This window comes from Homo sapiens, chromosome 12, assembly GCF_000001405.40.
Source record: "Homo sapiens chromosome 12, GRCh38.p14 Primary Assembly".
Taxonomy (NCBI): Eukaryota; Metazoa; Chordata; class Mammalia; order Primates; family Hominidae; genus Homo; species Homo sapiens.
Window position 1 is genome coordinate 68,953,949 of NC_000012.12, and position 25,250 is coordinate 68,979,198.

The 25,250-nt window shown below is 41.0% G+C and overlaps 1 protein-coding gene and 1 pseudogene across 5 annotated transcripts in view; both read right to left on the reverse strand.

Annotated features, from left to right (window-relative positions):
- The window catches only part of CPM (carboxypeptidase M), a 121,273-nt gene extending 111,752 nt beyond the window's left edge, over positions 1-9,521 (reverse strand). For all 5 annotated transcript variants that reach the window (NM_001413398.1, NM_001413393.1, NM_001874.5 and 2 more), the window contains exon 1: positions 9,221-9,521. The gene's annotated coding sequence lies outside the window, so the exon portion shown is untranslated. The remainder of the gene's footprint in view (positions 1-9,220) is intronic.
- PRELID2P1 (PRELI domain containing 2 pseudogene 1) lies at positions 2,568-3,736 on the reverse strand (annotated as a pseudogene).
- Positions 9,522-25,250: the final 15,729 nt, after the last annotated feature.

The window sequence follows — 25,250 nt, forward strand, 5'->3', positions numbered from 1 at the left end:
CAACATAGAAATCCATCAGGCGTGAGTTATTCCCAGCCAGATTTTCTATTTTTGTTAGGCTTTTTTTACAATTGCTTTTATTAGTTATTCCTTCATGATGTCTTGGAGAGCCACCCCATAAAGTTATTCATGCTGGTTAATTTAGGAGCTCCTTCATGGCATTTCAAGATTTACCAGCTTTGTAGGTGGTGATAGAAATGTCATGAAATGTTTTTGTTGTGTATTTTCTCTGTGCCACATCATTTAGAAAAATAAATAAAAACTTTTAAGAACATCATATACTGCTAGTCTAGCATGGCTTTGGGGGTATTGCCCAACCTGGAAGCGTATGACATACATTCCTTCAGTCCCCTCACTCTGTTCCCATCTCTCTGAAACTGCCCTATAAAGGTTGCCAAAGACCTCCAAGGAGCACGTATTTTGTCTGCCTCTGCGGCAGCCTCTCATCAGTACTGGGCATAGTTTACACTCCCTCTCCTTGAAGCACTACCCTCTCTTGGCTTCTGAGACACACACAGTCTGGATTTTTATCTCTCTCAGGCTCCTTTGCTGACTTCTCTCCTTCCCCAAGTGAGGGCCTTCTTGGCTCTTTGCCTTCTCTGTGTACCCCTCTCCTTAGATAATCTCATCCAGCCCCTTGGCTTTAACTCCCATCTATGTGCCAGTGACCCCTGATTTCAATTTTCATCCCTGACCTCTCCTCTGTGCCCCAGATTGACATATCTCAATGCTCACTTGACATTTCTACTTGGATGTTTAATAGGCCTCTCAAACTCAACATTTTAAAAAAGCAATTTTTTTTTAGCTTTCTTAGGTAGTGTGTGTTTATATCTTGGCTTCTGATCATGAGAAATGCAAACTACTGCCATCTAATTTTCAAACAGTAATACCACCTTACATTACAGTTGAAAAGTACAGATGAAAAGTCCCCTCATCCAGACACAGGTGTCTGCAGCAGAAGCCATGTGCAGTACGTCTGGTCCAGCCACAGCCTCACATGGAGCCAGCACCTGTGCTGGTGCCTGGAGCTGCCTGCCCTGCAGTAGCAGCCTGCATGCCTGGCTGTGTGCAGTGGCTGGACCCTGCGCTTGCTTGCCCACACACCCCTTGCTGCTCCACATCTGGCTCATGTTTGGCAGGTGTGGAATCCGGGCCAGTAGCACAAGCTGAGCACAGCCTGCTGGGCCGAGTGGGCAGAACGAGCCCAGGAGGCCCGAGTAAAACTCAGGCAAAGGTGCCGCCAGCCACAGAGGCTTCCAGCTGGAAAAGTGACACCCCTAAGGATCCCAGGACACTGACACCTACTCGCTTAGTGATTGTGGATATAATTTTAAATCTTTACGAAGCTCATTTAAAAAAATTTGTAAAACAAAGTACTCAGCATGCTGCCTGGTGCGTAGTAGAAGTCCAGTCAATGGAAGCTTAGAAATGCCAGGACCACAGAACCGTGGGTGTCACAGCCCTGGGTTCAGGAGCCCCCAGGTCTGTGCTCCCCAAAGGGCCGCAGCTCTTCTCTTCTTCTTGTTGCTTACAACATGGTGAGTGTGTGTGGGGGTGGGGGGGGCATGTTTCAGCCCTGTTTAATTTATACCTCTTTTAGTCCTGCCACTTGGTGGGTCCTGAGTTCTTGTGCTGCATCCAGAAAGAATGAGGTACTCAAACAACTGGAGGATGAGCAAGGGAGAGAGGAGCTTCACTGAGCAGCAGAACAGTTCTTGAGGAGGCCCAAAGTGGGTAGCTCCTATCCGCAGACAGGTTGTCCTGAGGTCTGTGCAGCCCTCAGCTGAGAGGAGACCCAGAGCAGGTAGCTCCTATCCTCAGGCAGGTCATCCCATGTCTGCCTGAGTCTGGCTGAGTCTGGGGTTTATACAGGCTTTAGAGGGGAGAAAGTGTGTATGGATTGGTCCATGGGTGGCCATGGGTGTCCAAGAAAAAGCACCATAAGTTCTCATTCCAGTCTGCAGAACTGAAAGCCGAGCCCCCAGGCTTCAGGCCGTCCCCAGCTTGGAGGTGGGGCTTCACTGAGTACCTGCCCCTTTCCACCCAGGAGCCTGTCTGCCTCCTGCCACCATCAACCTGCCCTCCACGGCACCCACAGTGCCCAGGCTGTTCCTGCTAAGGGGCTCCTGCAGGCCTACACTGCTTTCCATGCTCGTCAGTGCCCAAAGTGTGGAGGGGTCCTAGGTGGCAGGGTGCTGGCATGTCAGTGCCTCAGAGCATGCACACTTGGCCAAGTCATGTCAGCACCCAGGTTTGGCCACAGTTTGCTCCAAAATCGGAGCAGGTGCCAGGAGCAGGGAGAGGTTAGACAGTGGGAGCAGTCACCTCTGAGTCTGCAGGGGCAGGGGGAATTCCTGGGCCCCAAGAGTGCAGGGATGCCAGGGTCTGTAGCCAGGGCTGGGCAGCTGCAGCTGCACCCAGGAGGGCAGGGATCCCATCCCGCCAACTTGGAAGGGTCTGTTCCCGGCTCCCACTGGCTCCATGGAGCCTGCTGCCCCAGCCACGCCTCCCCCACTACAGCTGGCATCATGGCAGCAGCCACTCCACACAGGCCACTGCTGCCATCACCAGCACTTGGATTCAAACCTAGGTCTGTCTGACTCCAAAACCTGGACTCCTTGCACAAAATTACCTTGTTTAATCATCACAACCCATTGGCCGAAGGACCTGTGCTTGATTATCCCCATTTGCCCAGTAAAAAACAGACAGGTTAATGATTTGCTCCACACATAGAACAAGTTATCAGGAGCCAAGGTTAGAACCTTCCTTCCCACTCTTCCGTGTTTTTTCAGAGCACCAAATCACAGTTCACATGTTACGTTGTAAAAGCTCTATTAATGGCAGTTCCATTTTACTTATGGATAGACATAAAATGTGATTTCTGAGAATCTTAAACATTGCGATAAATATGGCTTAGCTTCAACACAGGTCTGGTAAATTCCTGTTTGTTCCAGTTCACCTATGAATCAGGTACTGTTTCTACCCCTTTATTGGTTCCAGAATCCTCTCACAAGTCCTATGAACAATGGTGCTAATAACATAAGGGCACAAACACCCTCCTCGGCCTTTATCCTGTCTTTGGCTGCCCTGACGCCATCACCAGACAATCAGCAGACCACCCCGAGGAAGGGTAGACATCATCTTATCTGGGTTTTATTCCTTTATTTGTAAAATCGTAGAGATTGTATCATAAAAATCCAGCAAGAAGGTCTCATGTCCTTGAATCCCACTATTCAAAGCAGGTTCCCAGAGGAGAGCATCATTTTGTGTCCTGGCAAGAAGGTCTCTTCTTGAAGCTGCTGACATGGTATCCTCAAACCTGTATTCCAGAAATGGTGTCTGTGATGTGCTGTGACCAAGCAGTGATTCTCAGAAAAAAAAAAAAAAAGTGGTCATGGACACAGCTCTCTGGTGATTCTTTATTCAGCTAAGGGGGCACCATACTGTTCCTTTAGTAGCATCTCCATGATTCAAATTCCCTTCTGAGCTCCCTGTCTTAAGAATGTGCTGGCAAAAGTTTCCAAAATGCAGTTGAGAAATACAGCTCCAGTGACTGAAATCTTGCCTTTTTCAATGAGTTCTGTCCAATTTGGATTTTCCACACTTTCCCAGAAGACTGACTTTTCCTTCCAAAATGCATACTGTGTCCACATAAGGCAAAGACTCCATATAATCATGTTTCTTTCTTGAGGATTGAGCCATGACTCCTCTTTTAATTGGATGTTAGATACTAAAAAGGGGATTATTATTATTATTATTATACTTTAAGTTCTAGGGTACATGTGCACAATGTGCAGGTTTGTTACATAGGTATATATGTGCCATGTTGGTTTGCTGCACCCATCAACTCATCATTTACATTAGGTATTTCTCCTAATGCTGTCCCTCCCCCAGCCACCCACCCCCTGACAGGCCCCAGTGTGTGATGTTCCCCGCCCTGTGTCCAAGTGTTCTCATTGTTCAGTTCCCACCTATGAGTGAGAACATGTGGTGTTTGGTTTTCTGTCCTTGTGATAGTTTGCTGAGAATGATAGTTTCCAGCTTCATCCATGTCCCTGCAAAGGACAAAAACTCATCCTTTTTTATGGCTGCAAAGTATTCCATGGTATACATGTGCCACATTTTCTTAATCCAGTCTATTATTGATGGACATTTGGGTTGGTTCCAAGTCTTTGCTATTGTGAATAGTGCCGCAATAAACATATGTGTGCATGTGTCTTTATAGTAGCATGATTTATAATCCTTTGGATATATACCCAGTAATGGGATGGCTGGGTCAAATGGTACTTCTAGTTCTAGATCCTTGAGGAATTGCCACACTGTCTTTCACAATGGTTGAACTAATTTACACTCCCACCAACAGTATAAAAGCATTCCTATTTCTTCACATCCTCTCCAGCTTCTGTTGTTTCCTGACTTAAAAAGGGGATTTTTAAATGCCTTTTTTAATTTTCCCCTCAAACCCCTTCCACTCAGTCCCCTCCACCCCCAGCTTTTCTGTCGCAGGAAATGAAACCACCTTACACTGTTACTCAAACCAAAACCCCAGGAGTCTTTGACTCTCCACCCACCCCAACCAATGCAATACATCAGGAAGTTCTGTTAACTCCATCACCAAGATACCTCCTAATGCTGTTTGTGACACCTCCACTGCTGCCATCTTGGTCCGAGATACCATCGTTTCTCTCCTAATCCCCTCCCTGCTTCCTCTCTGGCACCTGTAGTCTAGTTATAGCTCAAATGCCAGAGGGGTGTTTTAAAACATAATCAGAACATGTTCTTTTCACTCCAGGGGCTTCTAGTCACACTCAGAATCAAACCCAAAGCCTCTTCCTTCCTGGCCTCTGAGACGCTATATGAACTATCCCCGCCTGCCTCTCATCCCTTGGTAACACTATGTTATAGCCACACGTGCCCTGAACACACAGATCTGCCTCTCACCCAAGGGCCTTTGCACAAGCTCTGCCCTGTGCCAGACACATTCTTCTCCTAAGTCGTCCCATGTCTGGTTCCTTCTTATTCGGGTTTCAACTTCAATGCCATCCTCTTTGAGAGACCTTTGACCACTTAGATGTAGCCCCCAGTTCCTGCACCCCAGCTGTCATTTCCTTGCACATCTCTGTCTTATCTTCGTCATACCATTTACTATTATTACATATTTTCTCCTTATTTATACATTCCTGCCACCTCAGAATGTGAATGCCATGAGAATAGGGTCCTGGTCATCCCGTTCAGTGTTGCATCCCAGCACCCACAGCAGTCCCTGGCACAGAGTAAGTCTTCAGGATATGTTTGATGATTAAATGAATGAATGAATATCTTTTAGAAAGAGCCAGTCCTCTCCATAGACTGCAACCTAAATGATGAGACTCAGAAGTGTTTCAAAATCCCCATTGCCTAATAAGACATTTCAACTTTTAGATTAATTCCAGTGGCCACTGCCTTAAAATATCATTGTTATTGTAAAAAAAAAAATTACCTAAAGGAGAACAGAGGTCTTGTACTACGCTGTTAATTCTTCAAAACTTAAGACTGAGTTAGTTTTCAAATCATTTTTATCTTAGAAATCAAAGGCAGTTGGACCAAGGACAAATACATTATAATGAAAGTGTGAAAGAGAGAATATGAAAAGTTGGCTGCATGGGGGCATTGCCCAGTCAAGACAGATGTGGGTGAAACATCATGGGCAAGGAGGGGGTTTTCCCACGAGAGGCCAAAATTGGAGAGAGGGTGAAGAGAGGGTTTGCTGGGTGCTTCTCACATGCTAGCATCGTGTTAGTTGCCTTAGGAATAAGGAAGAAGTGAAGCACAAACTCTGGCCCTCAGAACCTTCTGGGAAACCTGATGCTATGGTAATTTCTGGTGAGGATGATCATGTTTAATAAACAAGGCACAAACATTTCAGCTCTGCTATATCCCCAGGCGTCTCTCCCAAAATCAGTTTACTTCTCTACTTTACAAGAAAAATCGGTTAGCTTCAGGGTTTATAAAACTCACTAAAACATACAAATGTAAAACCAAATGTTACCCTGCTGATTTGAAAGGGATTCTGGCATGACTTCTCAGATAAAGATACAAATACATTCTTTGTTCATTTCCATGAACGGCCTTTTTATGGCTTTTGAGACCTAGTCTAAGTCAGTAAAAGTCAGAATTTGTGTTGCTGATAGGTGTTGGCCTTGTAAAACTGGAAAAAAGGAATCACATTTTCTATAACATATGAATGCACAAGTGATTCATTCTTTGGCTCAGGATGGAAACATTTATTTTTGGCACTCTTGATTCTTCTTTCTTCATTAGCTTCACAGATTTTTCTCAATACGATGTCGACGTTGGATGGGCTTCATTCACAAGGAAACACCAAGATAAATGGGGTGACTAACATCCAACTATTTAAAACTTGTAAATATTTATGAGAAAATTATATCCGTCTTTGTGGGGATTTCTCTCTGAAACGTGGATGTAACTATTGAGGGCTCTAGCTTCCCTTTTAAATGGTGGATTCTAGTGTTAGTATTGCAGTGCTCTACAGCAAAATCAGTATGACCATTGTGTATAAAATAGCTACGCTGAATCTTGAATAAAAGGGATAATGCTTCTTTACTTGTACGACCCTTCCCACTGCTGAGCCTAGAACATCATATTTTGAGATCAGTGACCTAAGTCCTGGACCAGCAAGATAATTCGCAGGGCCCAGTGCAAAAAGGAAATATGGGGCCTTTTGTTAAAATATATATATATTAAAAATGTCAAGATGATAACAGAGAACATCAAACAAGCATGGAGCTCCTCTAAATGTGGCAACCTATGTGACTGTACAGGTCTCAAGCCCAGAAAGCTGACCCTGCACAAGCCCTCATTTGAGACCTTTGCTATGACTTGTTCAGGTGAATTAACGATTCTGCACCTACTTTGTCCTATCTGCAGAACAGGTGAAAAGAGTAACATATTTTCTATTAATCATGATGATTACCTATAACAACTGAGAGTTGATTTTTTAGTATACCAGTCAGGCAGGTAAAAGGCGATGCAACTTAGCATTGGGGACTGTCATCCCCAGTAAAAACTAGGAAATTTGTAAATGTCCACTTACTGGTTGTTACCCAAATAGAATAGACAGGGACAGTGGTCTGAGGATTGAGGTACAAATATCAGAAGGATGAGAAGAGTCATGAGAAAAATAATGAAAATACCTATAGTCTTAAAAAAATTTTTTTTTGAGACAGAGTCTTGCTCTGTCACCCAGGCTGGAGTGCAGTGGTGTGATCTCAGCTCACTGCAACCTCCAGTGAGCTCAAGCGATCCTCCTGCCTTAGCCTCCCAAGTAGCTGGGACTGCAGGCACATGCCCCCATGCCTGGCTAATTTTGTGTTTTTTGTAAAGATGGAGTTTTGCCATGTTGCCCAGGCTGGTCTTGAACTCCTGGGCTCGAGTGGTCCACCTGCCTTGGGTCTCCCAGAGTGCTGGGATTACAGATGCAAGACACAGTGCCCAGCCTAAATTTTTTATTACATATATTTTATTTTAGAGAAGAGGTTTCACCATGTTGCCCAGGTTGACCTTGAACTCCTGGGCTCAAGCAATCTTCCCACCTCAACCTCTGAGTAATCAGGACTACAGGTGTGCAACACTGTGCCTGGCTTATGTATTTTTTATTTTAAAAACAACTGTATAAGTTGAATGAGCCAGGCATGGTGGCTCGCACTTGTAATCCCAGCACTTTGGGAGGCAGAGGCAGGTGGATCACTTGAGGTCAGGAGTTCGAGACCAGCCTGGCCAACAGGGTGAACCCCCATCTCTACTAAATAAACAAACAGACAAACAACAACAAAAAACTCAACAACTGTGTAGGTTGAAAAGCCATCATAAGTCTATTTAAATAAGCAATTAAAAAAATATTTGATTATTTTTAATGTTTAAAGTGTTTCGTGGTCTTTTTAAAATAGGTTTTAAAAAACTGTGGTAATAATGGCCGGGCGTGGTGGCTCATGTCTGTAATCCCAGCACTTTGGGAGGCCAAGGCGGGCGGATCACGAGGTCAGCAGGTCGAGACCATCCTGGCTAACGCGGTGAAACCCTGTCTCCACTGAAAATACAAAAAATTAGCCGGGCACGGTGGTGGGCGCCTGTAGTCTCAGCTACTCAGGAGGCTGAGGCAGGAGAATGGCGTGAACCTGGGAGGCGGAGCTTGCAGTGAGCCAAGATAGCGCCACTGCACTCCAGCCTGGGCGACAGAGCGAGACTCCATCTCAAAAAAAAAAAAAAAAAAACCAAGTGTGATAATACACACATAACACAGAATTTACCATCATAACCATTTTTAAACCTACAGTTCAGTAGTTTTAAGTACATTCACACTGTTGTGTCACTGTTGGGACATGGAAAACAACACCCTAAAATGAAGGCCTCAGAAGCAGCCTGAGAAGCAAAAGGTTTTCTCTGACCTTCTCCTGCTCGCCTCCTGTCTCTCAGTCCCACTCTTCCCCGAGGGCAGCCATAGAAACTAGAATCCCTCTTCCCCACGTGGGTCCTAGAAACCAGAACCCCTTTTCCCGAAAGCCAGCTATAAAACCTAAAAATATTATCAAACTTTTCATCCGCCTTTCTTGTAAACCAAAAATAAAATTCTAAGTACTCCAACCATCTGAACAGACTCCTCCTCTTGGCAAGGGCATCCCAAAGTTAACCTGAAAAACAAGCTCAGGCCATGATGGGAAGGGGGAGCCAGACATGCCTCATTGTACCCTCTTCCTTTTAGAATTGTTGATAGAACAGACTCCTTAAGTCTGATAAGAAACATTTACAATCTGTTCTCTCTGAAGGCTTAACCTGCACGATAAAACCTTCGTCTCCACAATCCTTTATCATAACCCAGACATTCCTTTCTATTGATAATAACTCTTTCAACCAATTGCAAATCAGAAAATCTTTAAATCTCCCTGTGACCTGGAAGTCCCCACTTTGAGTGGTCCCACCTTTCTGGACCAAACCAATGTACATCTTACATGTATTGATTGATGTCTCATGTTTCCCTAAAATGTATAAAACAAAGTCGTGGCCTGACCACCTTAGGCACATAGGCAGGGCCTCTTGAGGCTGTGTCATGGGTGTGTCCTTAACCTTGGCAAAGTAAACTTTCTACATTGATCGGGACCTGTCTCATATACTTTTGGTTTACATTCTGTATAAAAACTGGTCATAAGGAAATGATCGGACCTACCTTGTTTGATTGTAGGTCATAAGACCCCCATTCCAGAAAGGGTCCTGTCCCATACGCAGAAGGAAGAAATGCTGCTCAGAGAGGCCAAGAAGAATCTAGACAGACAGGCCTTGCTGGGTTTCCTCACTCCATCTGTTAAAGTTACATCATACCCTTTTGTCCAGTCATATTTCTAAACAGCTCTACATACTTTTTGAACCTAAGCATAAAAATGTGCACTTTCCTCTGTCTTCATTCTGAAGGTTCCCATGTACACATTAAATGCATTTGTATGTTATTTCTCCTACTAGTCTGCCTTTTGTGAGTTGATTTTTCAGTGAAACTTCATAGGGAGAAGGGGAACTTTTCCCTTGGCCCCTAGATAACTAATCTCCAGAACATTCTCGCCTTGCAAAACTGAACTTCTATGGCTATTACACAACTTCTCATTTCCCCATCCCCCTAGTGCCTGACAACCACCATTCTACTTTCTGTCCCTATAAATTTGACTATTTTAGACACTCCCACCAGTGGAATTTTATAGTATTCATCTTATTGTAACTGGCTTATTTCACTTAGCATAATGTCCACAAGGTTCATGCATAGTATAGCATATGTCAGAATTTCCATCCTTTGAAATGCTAAGTAATAATAGTTCATGGTATGCATATACCACTGTGGGGGAAGAAAAAAATGTTTTCCTTTACCTTCTTAGGTTCAGTATCTGGGGCCCTGCAAATTAGACTGACAAAAGACAGATTAGCAGGAGGAAAGGTTTATCATGTATATATACAGGGGCCTTCCTAGAAAAGTGAAGGGGCAGAGAAGCAGTTAGACCTAAGAGGTGACACAGCATTTTGACAAACAGTGATACATTTGATACATTGCAGAGATTGACAAGACAAAGGAAAAGGGGGATTCCTAATGGTGGTAACTTGTGGGAAGGAAATATATAGGGAAATAAATAGAAGAAAAGGGTGGTTTAGTAAGGTTTGTTATATACATTCCTCTCCAGGTCTTTGGGCTGAAAAGAATCTAGAGTCATCTCCAGTGATGAAGAGTCCCGATGATTAATGAAACCACCTTTGCGAAGATTATGACAGCAAGAGGAGTCTAACATGACCAACTCCATCTTGCTTCTAGCCTCACAGACTGGCTGTCTTCACGCATTCCTGGGCATAGGAAGCTAACCATGGAAGGGATTTAGTTTCTAGTTTAATGTGGAAGCAAGGATGACAATCCCTCCCTAAAACTGATCCCCTCCTTGTTCAGGAGCTGAAACCACCTTTGTAAAACTGATGAAAGACCGCAAGATTAGAACTATGGGAGTGGCCTAAATTCTGCTAAAATATAGTTTCTATAATCCCTTACTACTCAGGAGTCATGTGGCCAGAGGTCACAAGATTTGTGACTTCCCCTATTGCTCCTATAGATAACATTATGATTGTAGAACTTAAGATTGATCTTTTGAGATGTTTTTCAGACTTTTGCATTTTGGCCACTGACCGACGCTACTGACTCATGACTCAGCCGGTCCCATGGCCCCCACCCAGAGGCAGACTCAGTGCATGAGGACCATCTTCCACAACCCTATGATTGTATCCTCAGTCAGTCAGCAACACGTATTCCCTAGTCCCCTACCCACCAAGGTATCCTTAAGAAACCCTAACCTCCAAGCCTTCAGGAAGACTGATTTGAGTAATAACTCCATCTTCCATGTGGCCAGCCTAGTGTTAATTAAACTCTTTCTTTACTGCAATACCACAATCTCAGTAAATTGGATTTGTCTGTGCAGAGGGTAGACCAAATCCATCAGGTGATTGCATTAAGAGTTGTTCTCTTCCTTGGCAAGGGAGAGGACACCTTTATAAACGCATAACCTAAAAATAAAATCCTAAGCCCACACTGACTGAACAGATCCTTCTTGGCCATGGAGACACAAAAAACCTTAAGAACTGAATTTCCAACCATGACAGCAAGTGAGGTTGAACACACTTTTTTATACTCCCTCCCTTCTGGAGTTTAGGCACAACTGACCAGTATTAATGTTAAAATAGAGATCATAAGACTGACAAAACAGACTCTTTGTGACAGTAAGATACCAAATTGTAAACAGGACCTATGACCATGCCAGACAAGGGTTAAGTCACATCCCTACAGGTCACTCTGACCCAGTGTATTGGGTAATGAACCTCCTTAACTTAAACATTCCTTTCTACCGACTTCAAATCTTTAGACAAAGCTTAATTTTTTCAACCAATTTCCAACTAAAGAATCCCCAAAACCCACCTATGACTTGTAAGTGCTCTTCTCCCCACCTCAGGATGTCCTGCCTTTTTGGGCTGAACCGATATTGTCTTCCATAAAGTGATTTATGTCTTTAGCTGTAATTCCTATCTCCTTGAAATGTATACAACCAAACTATAACCCGACTGCTTTGGACACACTTTCTCTGATTTTTTTTTTTTTTTTTTTGACATAGTCTCCCTCTGTTGCCCAGGCTGGAGTGCTGTGGAATGATCTCGGCTCACTGCAGCCTCTACCTCCGGGGTTCAAGTGATTCTCATGCCTCAGCCTCCCGAGTAGCTGGGACTACAGGTGCCCACCACCATGCCCAACTAATTTTTGCATTTTTAGTATAGACAGTGTTTCACCATGTTTGCCAGGCTGGTCTTGAACTCCTCACCTCAAGTGATCCACCTGCTTTGGCCTCCCAAAGTGCTGAGATTACAGGTGTGAGCCACTGTGCCTGGCCATGAGCGCACTTTCTCAAGACCACTTAAGGTTGTTTTTCTCCAGGTCATGGCCCTTCATGTTGGCTCTGAAAAATCTCTTTAAACTGTTTTGCAGACTTTGGTTTTTCCATTAAAAATGGAAAGTCATGTCCTGCTTTTAGCCAGATAGGGGGAGGGCAGAGAGTTTTTGTTTGTTTGTTTGTTTGTTTTTTGTTTTCTGTCTGCTGTTTCTTGATTGTCTTCAGCTCAAAATAATTCTTATGCCAAAGTGGCATATTTTGGGGTGTCATATTCTGGTTCCCTTCACCACATTTTGTTTATCCATTCATCCATTGATGGACACTTGGGTTGTTAGGCTTTTTAAAAATACTCCCAAAATGTCTTATCAAGACATTAATTTGAAACAAGTGCAGTGCTCTCTCTAAAAGGAATTCTACTGAATAAAATTTCTCCATTGTTACCAACAGCAGACTGTGTTTTGGCTGCCAGGTTAAAAAAGCAAGTTAAACCAGCATTAAGTAAATAATCGACCATTATTTCAGAAGGGTGTCTTCATCTATCTGAGAGTTCCAGAATCCCCATCTGCAAATGCTGGCTAAATAGTGATCTTCACTTGTCATTGCAACTCATTTGCAACTTGGTAGCTTGGAACCAGGAGAATTAGTGGAAGGTCCAGCAAAGAAGGAATTGATCTTGAAGGACAGTTTTCTTGCTGATATGACTTCATGGATCAATGAAGTTCATCAAATGAAATCTTTGTATACATATGCTAGAGTTAATGGAGTCCATAAACTTTTCATAAACATACTGAATATGCTGTGTTATGGAACTCCAGTGTTCCTGTGAGTTCCTTTGCTTCCTTTTCCCTTTACCTCATTTTCTTTAATCAGAAATACATGTGACTTCAGTCATATGTGAGGCTTCTGCTTGCCTTGTGTAAAGGAAATAAGTAAGGCCTATCCTACATAAGACAGCTCCTGTCCTAAATATTAATAAGAAGAGAAGGTGTAGTTCATCTGGAGTAGAAGGATGAAGAAGAAAGAGAGGGGATGTCTGAAGCCAGAGATCCATGTGGAGCATATTATAGACTTAGGTAAGTGAACAGCCATATCTTAATATTTGAGTTGATGAATGGGGCCTAACCATTATCAGCCAGACTGTTGAAGGGGACTAGCAGAAGTTGGAAGCATAGATAGAAAGAGAAGACAGGACAAATAATCAGCTTTTTGCTTCTATGTCTTGAACTGAGCTAACTTGGACATAAATTTGCTCCTGAGTCTGAAAGGCCATGTAGAAAAGTTAATAATAAGTCTGCTGAAGCTAATGACTAATATTCTGACTTCTGCTGCTTCCCTGGGTGAGTACGGGGTGGTGCAGTAAGGTGCAGCGTCATGTAGACTGTCACTGTGATAGGAAACAGAGCAACATTAATATCTACTGGTATTTAAGAGCTTCTCCGAAAGACTTAGAACTTTTTTCAGTTGAAGCTATGAATACTTTCACCTCATAACAGGTGTCCTTAGCTGAAGTCCTGGACCTTAAGTAGTGAAAGACTTGAGTAGACTTTTAGTTCAGATGGGACCTCTTCAAAAGAGATCTTAGGACCAGGGCTGAGCAAAGGTTGAGGCTGTGCAGAAACATCCCCAGGCAAATTGTCAAGTAAATGGGTTTCTTTTTTATTTTTATTTTTTTGAGACAAGGTTTCTGTCACCCAGGCTGGAGTGCAGTGGCATGATCATGGCTCAATGTAGCTTTGACCTCCGTGGGCTCAGGTGATCCTTCCGCCTCAGCCTTCCTGAATAGCTGGGTCTACAGGCACTCACCACCATGCCCGGCTAATTTTTGTATTTTTTGTAAAGATGGAGTTTTGCCTTATTGCCCAGGCTGGTCTTGAACTTCTGGGCTCAAGCAATCTGCCCATCTTAGTTTCCCAAAATGCTGGGATTACAGGTGTGAGCTCTGTGCCCAGCCCTAGGTTTCTTTTCTAATTCCTCTGACCTCCTCAGAGAAGGTTTGGAAACCTGGGTTATGGGGGTGGGGAGAATGAGCTACCCTCCTCAAATTCACAAATATTTCCTTAAACACAGATAATACAAATTTTTCATAATGCCATCAGAAATATAATTAGTATACTTGTCAAAGTGCTACAAGAATGTTGTACAAGTGTAATATGTCAAACATTTAAACCCAAACTCTTCTCCCCACATTGGGAACCCAGATTCAGACTTTAGGTCAATGCTTAGCTTAACATTTAATGTCTTATCATGGGCCTCTTATTTAGTATGCCCTAAAAAGCACATCAAAAAGAGAACAAATGTTTATGAAGGCAGGTGGAGCTCTTTTCTTTTAATGGATCATAAAGCAATGAGCTTCCCTGGGTTTCATTGGCGTTAGCTAATGTGACAGGGTGTAGATTAATAATTTAAAATAGAAATATACTTGGAACTAGTTCACTGTTGGATCAGAGTCATCAATGAAATAAGGAAAGGTGATTTTCTCCTTTACCCTCCCAGGAAGGCAGGCAGACTGGCTTTTATGTTCTGGAGTTCTGGACTCTCTCACCTCTTGCCCCACTCCAGATCACTGGGTGGCTGAGGCTATAGCCCCTTGAAGACTGGAGGTTTATCTTCTAGAGAGGGCAAAATAGAGTCTCTGGAGTGAGAGATACCAGACATAGGTGAAGGAATGGTACCCTCTGTGGAAAGCATAGGTGTAGCGGCTGCTTGCATTTTAATGCCCATGATGCAGGTACTCCAGACCTGTCTCCCACTCAGCTCCCAGAATCTGACAGTTTCCCAGACCTTACCCTCCAGGCAAGAGGCTGGAAGACTCTTCTCTGGGAAATTTCCAACCAGCCCAAAGGGAAATACTTTTAAATACTGACATGGAGGTTAAGGGTGGGGATGAGGGGAGTCAAAAAATAGTCTACCCAAAGCACCTTGGACCTAGAGTAAAGGTCAAAATTAATAAGCCTCAGCTTTGAACTTCCAATCAGTCTTTACTCCCCCATCCTCAATCTGGAGCTTTAGTAAGGAAAATAGGCAAAATTACTATACTCCATCAGCTTATATTCTAATGGCCGTGGGAATGGGTTGGGGGCAGAAAATAACGAAATAAAATATATAGTATATTAGAGAGTGATAAATGCTTTTGGACAAAAATTGGGTGGTGGTAGTTATGAAATGCCATCTTTGGAGGGCATTGCATTAGTGGATTAAGTTTGGGTCAGGGAGAGAGATAACATGATCTATTCAACCTGCCCTCTTCACCTGGAAGCTTCGCATCTGAACTACTTTCAAGTTCCTGAAATAAACCTGCCTGTTTTGGCCTTGAGGCCTCTGCTGTATTCGGTTCCCTTGATCTAGAAAACTAGACTCTTCTGCTCCACCTTGCGTGCCAGCTTCTGCGGAAGAATGAGATTTGGGGTTGTGCTTGAAATTAATTGGCTTAGCCTTACCTATTTATTTTTATTTGCATAAACTATACAAGGAAAAAGCTTCAAATACTTTCCTTATGTCAAGAAAACCCACAGGCCTTTATACTGGTTGAGTTCATTATAACAACACCAGTGAGGCCTTGCTGGTTAATTATCATGGGGTTGGTGAGCAAGTTTAACCTCGTGTGACAAACACAGTTTGCAACCTCAAGTGAACAAACACGATTCTCTACAACAACATTCGACAGTGTAGACTGCAGTTCTGCGGTACGAACATTTGCAGTCTCCAGATTATAAATCAACAGCCCTTCAAACTGGAAAAACATACCTCTGAATATTACAGGGACACTCTTTGCCCTTCTTAGTAAATAGAGGGAAATCTAAGTTTATGATTACAAGATACAGAATGATTATAGATTTAATGTAAATTTAATGGTAACAAGCATGTAAACATTCTCTAAACTTCTGTATTTTTTAAATCGGGGGTAATGACTAATCTAGTGAAGTTAAAAGTACTTTTTTCACAACTCAAAGTTTCTTATTAAGCACCACTAAAAGCCTATGGCCTCAACTAAAATTTAAAATGCGGATGTGTGCAAAAATTTGAAATTTAATTTAATTTTACCCTCTATATCTCAATTTAATCATTATTGCTCCAGGAAGTCTTCTCTGATCTTCCAAGAAGGGAACTGCAATCTGTTTTAACCCATGACCCACTTATGACTTTGGAATTGCCTATTTCTTTTCTTTCTTTTTTTTTTTTTTTGTACACACCAGTGTACAAAAACATCCACCTCCAGGATTCAAGCAATTCTCCTGCCTCAGTGTACACCTCAGGAGGCCAGACACTTCTAAGAGCAAGAAATAAGTTTGTCTTTTCCTCAGCTCAATCCCCAAGGCTCAGTACAGTGGCCAGCCCTTGGTGAGCACAAAATAAATATTTGTTGAGTAAATGACTAAATATGCAAATGAACAAAAAGTTAAGAATCATAATAGGGAATGAAATAGTTTATAAAATTTTAAATCTCAGCAGTTGTTAGCTATTATTTATCAAAATGTTCACTTAAATTTAAAATAACATTAAAAATGCTAGATTAAAAACTTAAATATTGGACTCTGTTCAAATGTCACTTTCTCAATGATGCCTTCTTTGACCATCCTACATAAAATTGCACCTGAGTCATTGCCTTGCCATTATGCTTCTTCTTTTCCTGGTGCTTGCAGAACAACTTGACTCTGTATTTCATATATTTCTTCTGTCTTCCCAACTTTATGGAAGCTGTATGAGAGCTAGGATCCCAATTTATTACCATTGCATCCTCAGGGCCTAGAACAGTGCCTAACACATGGTAGCAGCACATTTAACTTTAAATTTACCTTATTAAAGGCTAATGTTAATGGAGAGTAATCGCTGGGGTGAGGATAGAATAATTTAAGACTTCTTAAAAATAAGAAGTGTACCGGCTATTATGTAAAGTCTAGTGCTTTAAAATGTTTAAAAAACAATTATTATTATTATTGTTTAGAGACAGGGTCCTGCTGTATCACCCAGGCTGGAGTGCAGTGGTGCAGTCACGTCTCACTGCAGCTCGACCTCCTGGGCTCAAGCAATTCATTCACCTCAGCCTCCTGAGTAGCTAGGACTACAGGTGTGTGCCGCCATGCTAGACTAATTTTTACTTATTATATATTTTTATTTTTATTTTTTTTGTAGAGACAGAGTCTCACTATGCTGCCCAGAGTGATCTTGAGCTTCTCAAGTGGTCCTTTCTCCTGCCTTGGCCTCCCAAAGTGGCAGGATTACAGGCATAAGCCACCATGCCTGAATTCCAGTGCTTTTTAAACCAGTTTGACCACAGTCTTACAATAGGAATGCATTTTATGTAGCAATGTGGCACATCCACTTGAAGTAATACTTACCTTTTCTTTTGCAAGGTAATACTTACCTTGCAATGCTCTTTTCTTTTCCCTTCCATTCTAGTTCATTAAACAAAAAAAAAAGACTGGGAGCAGTGGCTCACACCTGTAATCCCAATACTTTGGGAGGCTGAGGTGGGCGGATCACAGGAGGCCAGGAGTTCGAAGACCAGCCAGGCCAATATGGTGAAACCCCATCTCTACTAAAAATAACAAAAATTAGCTGGGCGCGGTGGCGTGTCGCTGTAATACCAGCTATTCAGCAGGTTGAGGCAGGAGAATCACTTGAACCGGAGAAGTGGAGGTTGCAGTGAGTTGAGAGCACGCCATTGCACACCAGCCTGGGCAACAAGAGTGAAACTCCGTCTCAAAAAAAAAAAAAAAAAAAAGCCAGTCTGATCCACTAACTTCATGACTCACTAATGGTCATGATCATGATTCACACTTTCAAAAGCACTGATTTAAAGTGCTTTTACTTAATAAAATACCCAACTTATGAAAACAAAATAATGACTGCCTTCCCTATGACACCATAAGTATGTCCTGAAAGTTTTGCGATAGTTCTATTGATGGCTGAAAATAGATCAAGAATTAGTTTCAGCTCATTCAGCTTCTTTTATTTTTTAAGGTCTTTTGGACCACAATGTAATCCAATTAAAAAATATTTTGTTCATTCATAAAGGAATTTTATCCTGTGTAAATAAAATTTCTTAATGGCCCAACATATTAGTTACAATTACTTTTATGGCATTTAGGAAAAAGAGGAAATTAAAAAGTCCTTATATTTGAAGTATCAGCATAAATGAAAATGTCTTTGGCAAGAAATGATTATAATAAATTTGTAGGGCATTACATTTCTGTTTTTTTTTTGAGATGGAGTCTCGCTCTGTCACCCAGGCTGAAGTGCAGTGGCACAATCTCCGCTCACTGCAAGCTCCGCCTCCTGGGTGCACGCCATTCTCCTGCCTCAGCCTCCCGAGTAGCTGAGACTATAGGCGCCCGCCACCACGCCTGGCTAATTTTTTTTGTATTTTTAGTAGAGACTGGGTTTCACCATGTTAGCCAGGATGGTCTCAATCTCCTGACCTCGTGATCTGCCCATCTCAGCCTCCCAAAGTGCTGGGATTACAGGCGTGAGCCACCGCACCCAGCCTACATTTCTTAGCAATCTTAAAACCTTTCATTATTTTATGATAAGGTAGCACTTTAGACGGGAGAAGGTTTTAGACCCTGAGTTTTGATATGAGATTATATTATACTACATTGTCTAGGAATGAAAAAAAATCATATCATAGTAGTCATCATCTATTGTATCACAGTAGTATGATAGTAGTTTGAGGTCTGTCTCATCAAAGCATGGATGAAAATGTTCTTCATTTGACCAGAATGTCCATGTCCCTTAGAGCCAGCATTCTTATTCTCTGGACAGCCCTGGACTCACAGGTCAGACCTGCCTCAAAACAAACGATTCTGTCCCTCTGCCAGGAAAGCTACTGCCCAATCTCTCTACTTCCCACCATCATCATTTGAATATCCACTCAAAGGTCACTTTCTAGCAGACAGACCTCTGTTGCTTCCTCCCCGCAAGCCCAAGCTGAATCAACTCTCCTGTCATAGTAGTCATCATGGTAGTTAATGTTGATTATTACTGAAAAGGAAATGGTCCTTTTCAGGCAAAAGGCATGCACAACAATACACAAAGGAGGAAATACAAATGACCAAATAACATATGGAAAAGTGTTTAATCTCACTGTAAATAAAAATATATACAAATTAAAACAACAGTGAACAAAATTCTTAACTTATTAATGTATCAAATATTTTATAAAATTGTTTTTTATGTATTCATTTTTGTAAATGAGACGCCTAATATGAATGAGGAAACAAGGAAGTGGCTATTGATACATTGCAGGTAGGGATGAAAATTGCTACAAGCCTTTTAGAAAATAATTTTGCAATGTAACCTTAAAATGTTTATTATGGTAATTCTACTTTGTAAATCTATCCTAAAGGCATGACCTGAAATTTGGAAAATGTTTTTTTCATAAAGTTAGAAATCATAATATTGTTTAAAATAACAAAAATATTGGAAACAAGGTTTGCAAAATGATTTCCTAATCACATCTTAGAATATTATTCTGCCATTAAGATGAAGTTTATAAGAGTTTTTAATATTATGAGGCAATGTGTACTGTTACAGTGTTAACAGTATACATTGGTATCTTTACACCGTATACTGTTAACATTGTATTACAACATCCCATATTGCCAGATAATGTGCTAGAGAATGTTCTCACTCAGTACTTCTATTCAAAATCATCTCATCTAGTTCTTTCAACTTATAGATGCACAAAATTTTGGAATGAATGAATTCCGAAAACAGTGAGATTGTAACATTTCTTTTTCTTTTTTTCAGACAGAATCTCGCTCTGTCACCGGGCTAGAGTGCAGTGGCATGATCTTGGCTCACTGCAACCTCCACCTCCCGAGTTCAAGCTTTCTTTTCTTTCTCTCTGTCTTTTTTTTTTTTTTTTTTTTTTTTTACTGAATCTATATGCCTTGAAAATTATAACATTTCCTGATATAGAAGTCTAGAACAAGAGACATGAACTATGAAACTTATTCAGTTTCTACCCTTGGAAGTGTCATTATTTTAAGAGAGCATGAAATTGGCCTTATATTCACCAACAACTCTTTTCTAGGATATTTTTGACTTGAGGCAAATATTTTGTGGAATGGTTGACAGACTGTTATTCTGGTCACTCAATTATGAAAGCAGACAAAAGTGAAATTCAGGGCGGCATCTAGAGGGGAGAAAATCAATGACTCAGGTAAGTTTACCAGCCACAGCTAAAGAGGGAGGTGCACACTGGAAATCTGCAAGCATCATCTTCCCTCACCCATGTCTCTTCTTCCAAGACACATGTCCAACTCCAGACTTAATGTGTTTGTTTGTGACTTCTCCCCTTAAAGGTTGCTTGGGTTTACTTGTACCGGTTTAAAAATGTCCTCATGAGTAACTGCCTTATTCAGCAGCCCCAGCATAAATAAATCTTGACTTCTACCGTTCTTGGCTAGAGACAACTCTAAGCCTGGATGGCCTACTCAACCCAGCAGGTTGGTAGCGTGACAGGAGGCACAGTGTTACAATAGCCACTAGAGCACCTCGACTCAAATACCCAAAGCAGCAGTTTAATGATGGTATTTTTTCCTTTAAAGGCAATGATAGCTAAGCAGCTGTTTTATTCTTAGAGAAGTTCTATGACAGGAATTGGAAGAAGTGTTTCCTATTTTGCAGCTAAAAATGTGATTATTTGGATTGAGGATTGCTTACTGCTGTAAATTTAATGTTAAAGAAATCAAGAATGTTTCATTTTATCGTATCTTCTGTCAAAGAAAATGACAGAAAATATAATAAAACTGCAGTTCATGACCTTCGGTAAGCTATGAAATAATTTAGGAGGTCATGACTAGCAAACTTATTTATTATACTCTAAGTACTATAACTTTATAATATCTTTGCTAAAAAATCATGTAATGGATATTAATTATGTATTAAGGACCAAATCTGCATTTTTCCTGAAAATAATGAACAAAATCTATGTATTATGTAACAGTCTAAAATGTTTAAAATTCATATTTTAAGTACTAATGCATATTGATTACAGAGAGTAAAAAGAAGATTACACTTGCCCATAAACCCAGCAGCTACAGACAAATGGGCTATTGTTAATATATTGGTAATTTTCTGTCCATATGCTCTTTCTCTGCATATATAAAAATATATGATATTTTTTCCTTTCAAAATAGGGTGATTCTAGTAAATTTTTCACCCATGCGTTGTCGACATCTTTCCATACCTATATAGTTCTACCACATTATTTTTAATAATGGCATATATTCTGCATTATGAGTATATTATAATATATTTAACGAAACTGCTCAGTTTTGGATATTTATAAACCAATGTTTTTTAGTCTGCAGTTCATGACCCTTAGTAGGCTATGAAATAATTTAGGAGGTCATGACTAGCAATCTTATTTATTATACCTTAAATACTATAGCTTTATGGTGTGTTTCATTAAATAATTAACCATATTCTTCTGATTTTTCTAAATGATATGGGTTATTTTTATAAGTTTAGTCTTTCAGATAATGTTTAAAATTATTTTGAATAGATCCAAGAAATACGCTGTGGAAATTTTCACATTAAATTTATAAATTGACTTGGAAATTGATGCCTTTATAACAATGAATCTTTTCATCCAGAAATAAAGTATCTCACTTCATTTGATTGTTTCCTTTTTTGTCTCTGAGTAAAATTGTAAAGGATTCTTTACATAGGCCTTTGTATTTGTTGTTAAGTTTATTCATGGGTATTTAATATTTAGTTTTGCTATTGCAAAACGATATTCATTTTTTTTTCCAACCGAACAGAGCCATATGTAGGAAAGATACCAATGTTTATACACTTATTTTGCAACTGAGCATACTGAATTCTAAAAATACTTTCCTACCCAAGTCGTGTAGGTGAAATGAGAATGAGAGCCATGAGATATAACTGGAAAGTCTTGCTCCTATCCTTCTTCCTTCTTCAATTATACATTATTTGAGTTTCTTTTATTTCATTAAATATAAATGGCTGTCCTGTGAAAACAAAAATAACAGCATGACCTAAGGTCATCTGTATGACCAAATCTCCTTGAAAAAGCAGAGTGAGTTTCCAAGTGAGCATGATTAAACAACGCATAACAGGACCCACCTGCGGTTGCTTTAGCTTTCACCCTTCTGCCAGCAGCTGCACATCCTGAAACCACATTCTCCCTAAACAGGAAGAATATAAAGGACCCCTTGGCTAGGTAAACCCTGTTGCTGCATTCTGACACTGGTTGCTACCTGTGTAGATGTCATACTGAGTGCTGTTATTACCCTCGTTTTACAGATGAGAAAACTAGGCCCAGAGAGGTTAAACACTTCATCCACTCAGTCACTTATTCATTTATTCTTTTAATAAATTTAAATTAAGTATTGAGCACCCACCATGAACTGAGCCCTCTTCTATGGCTGTGAATGAAAGTTGCTGCCCTCATGAAAGTTACATTTTAATGGGGCAGACATGTATAAACAAAAAAGTACCCCCTCCTAGGTGGCACAGCTGAAATTGTAATTGAGCAATGGACCTCAGTCTGGTTGCAGAGCCCATGGGTTTGACCACGACTGCAAGGCCACATTGAGAGAGAAGAGAACACACCCTGGAGAAGGTGATCCGGCATCACCTGAAAAGCCTTCAAGATGGCATGACTGGGGTGAGATGACCACAGTCCAGGGTGTCATCCAGAACCACCTCATTCTACAAGTTCCACCCAGGGAGAGGATATCTCTCCCAGGGACAGCTGCCTTTACCACTCTTAGGAAACCATTTTATGTGTTCAACCTTCCTGACCCCTGTAGCCCACATACTTACTCTGTGTTCTTTCTTTCACATTCTTGCTAGTGCAAATGTCAATTCAATAAGCTATTAATGATTAATAAGAACTAACTTCTTTTAGCAGAGCTAAATGAGGCTGATGCCAGGGTTTTCACATACATAGTACAACAGTGGGCAGAAATAGCTAAGTGGAGTTAGACAAAAACTTTTAATATCATTAAAAATTATCCATAGAAGTAGGGCAGTTGGTGACAGGGCTATCATCTGATGCTATGTGGATTGACCTTTACTTAATAAAATTCCATTTGCCAGCCCCTGCTATTCCTTCCTTAATGAAACCAAGGCTCTTCTTGTCTTACAAACATAGATATTTGATAGATAAAGATCTTTTCTAAATATCCAGAGTTAATCTTCATTTACTAGTTTCGAGATTCATCTCGATTTTAACTTTTAAGAAAGTATTTATATTGTTTAACCTCTTTGAAACATTTGGAATTAACTAGGCCTTTATCTTAGTACAGTGTTTATTTAAGAACTCTAGAAACTTTATAAAGGATTTAAATCACTTTTGCTAAACACTGTTGGTAGTTTCAATACAGGAAAAAAATATTTTCTCTGCTATTAATTCAGCTTGGTGTCAGATGTTGTCAGTCCCTTGGAAATCAGCTTCAACTGTTCAGCTTTAATTAACTTTTTTTTTTAATTTGTGAAAGAGAGGAAAGAGGAGACCCCAAGGAAAAGACACCCAGACACCCTGAAGCCTTTCTAATAGCACCGCACAGAACTCTGGGTTTTCCCTCTGGGTCCTCTGTAATTAAGCGGTACAGCCAAATTTGGTGAGCACACTTGCTATGGAAAACTTTACACGCCTTTTCTTTCTTTTTTTTTGGTAACATCATGTGAAATCCTTGCAAATACAAGGGCCTTTTATTTATTGACAAAGGGAACAGTGATTCTAGACAAGCAGCTCTCTTGTCCTTCTCAAAAATAAGAAAGAGAATCTGTTGCATTTTCCAGTGCAGAGCACCCAGAGTGAAAACTGCATATTGTATGTTATTTCTCCTTGATTTTGTGAATGCTTTCTATCAAAGAGTGAAAATTATTTATGTAAACTCGCTCATGCCTTCTGCAAATGATTTGAAAAACAGAAATATTTTTAAGTGATTCAGGGTCAAACATTGCATTACTGACCAAATTGTACAAAGTATTAACTTACCTGTTTTGGAGAATTTGAGATGAAATCAAGAAATGGGTGGAATGATATTTTTTTTCTTTCATACATTGCTGGATAGGCAATTATGTATTCATCTGGAAACATGAATGGAGTGCCCTCTGTGTGCTAGGCTGTGTGCTAGGCCCTGGGGATGCAAGCATAAATAAGATAGGGCCCTTGCTTGGCACAGCTCACTTTTGCAAAGGAGATAGGCAGGTAAACAAATAATCACAATGCTGGGAGCCCCAAACTCTAATCAAGAGCACCTGGCAGGCACAAGGGACTCCTTCCCCCAGAGACCCAGAGCCAGCAAAGAAAAAGAGGATGCAAATCACAGTCAAACAAGGCATTGATTTCAGATCTTTATAGATTCCAACCAATGCTGCAGAGACACTCAGACTGTTACTGTGCATTCCCTGTATGCATGGATGGCCAAAGTGCGGTAATTTTGGGATGGTCTCTGACACTGGCAGCTTCTATTTTTAAAGAGGCCTTCCTGGGGAAGTGCTGTCTTCCTGTCCTTGTATAAGTTAGTCTGAGACTCAAGATGGAGCAAGAGATCTCTGCTTTCAAAGACTGCAGTAGATTTACCATGAGTCTCCAATTAATAATAACTTACTGAATGTCATCTAAGTGCTTTCAGCTACATGTCATCTCCTCAAACAGTCCCTCACTGACAGAGGTGGATTTATGGTGAAAACAATGAGGCTTACATTTCAGAGCCCCTCACTTGCAGGGGTCCTTTGTAAGTTCTGGGAGGGACTCTAGTGATCTATTCACATGCATGTGTGTTTTTGTAAATGTTGCAAAAGTAAAATATTTTAACCACAATCAGTTAAAACTTAAGGCTACTCTCTCTTTTTATTCCAATTTTCTCTACCTCTTGCCTCTCTTCCATTGGCATTGGAGTGGCTATAGGCCTTTGGAGGACCTGGCAAAGGGGAAGTTGATTTAGGGGTTCATTGAATTGAGGGGAAGTATGTAAGTGGTTTGCAGTCACTTCCTTGTGTGGTACTCTTGTATAGTAATGATTTCCTGGAATACTCATCACTCACTGCCGACCACCTGCTATCGTCACACAAAGACATCTCAACATGAAAATGTCCTACAACACCCAGCACCAGAAGACAAGGATAGTATGGGAGGAAAGTGAGTTTGTTTTATTTTTATTTTCTTTTTCTTTAAAAAATTTTTTTTTTTTCGAGACGGAGTTTTGCTCTTGTCACCCAGGCTGGAGTGCAATGGCGCGATCTCGGCTCACTGCAACCTCTGCCTCCAGGGTCCAAGTGATTCTCCTGCCTCAGCCTTCTGAGTAGCTGGGA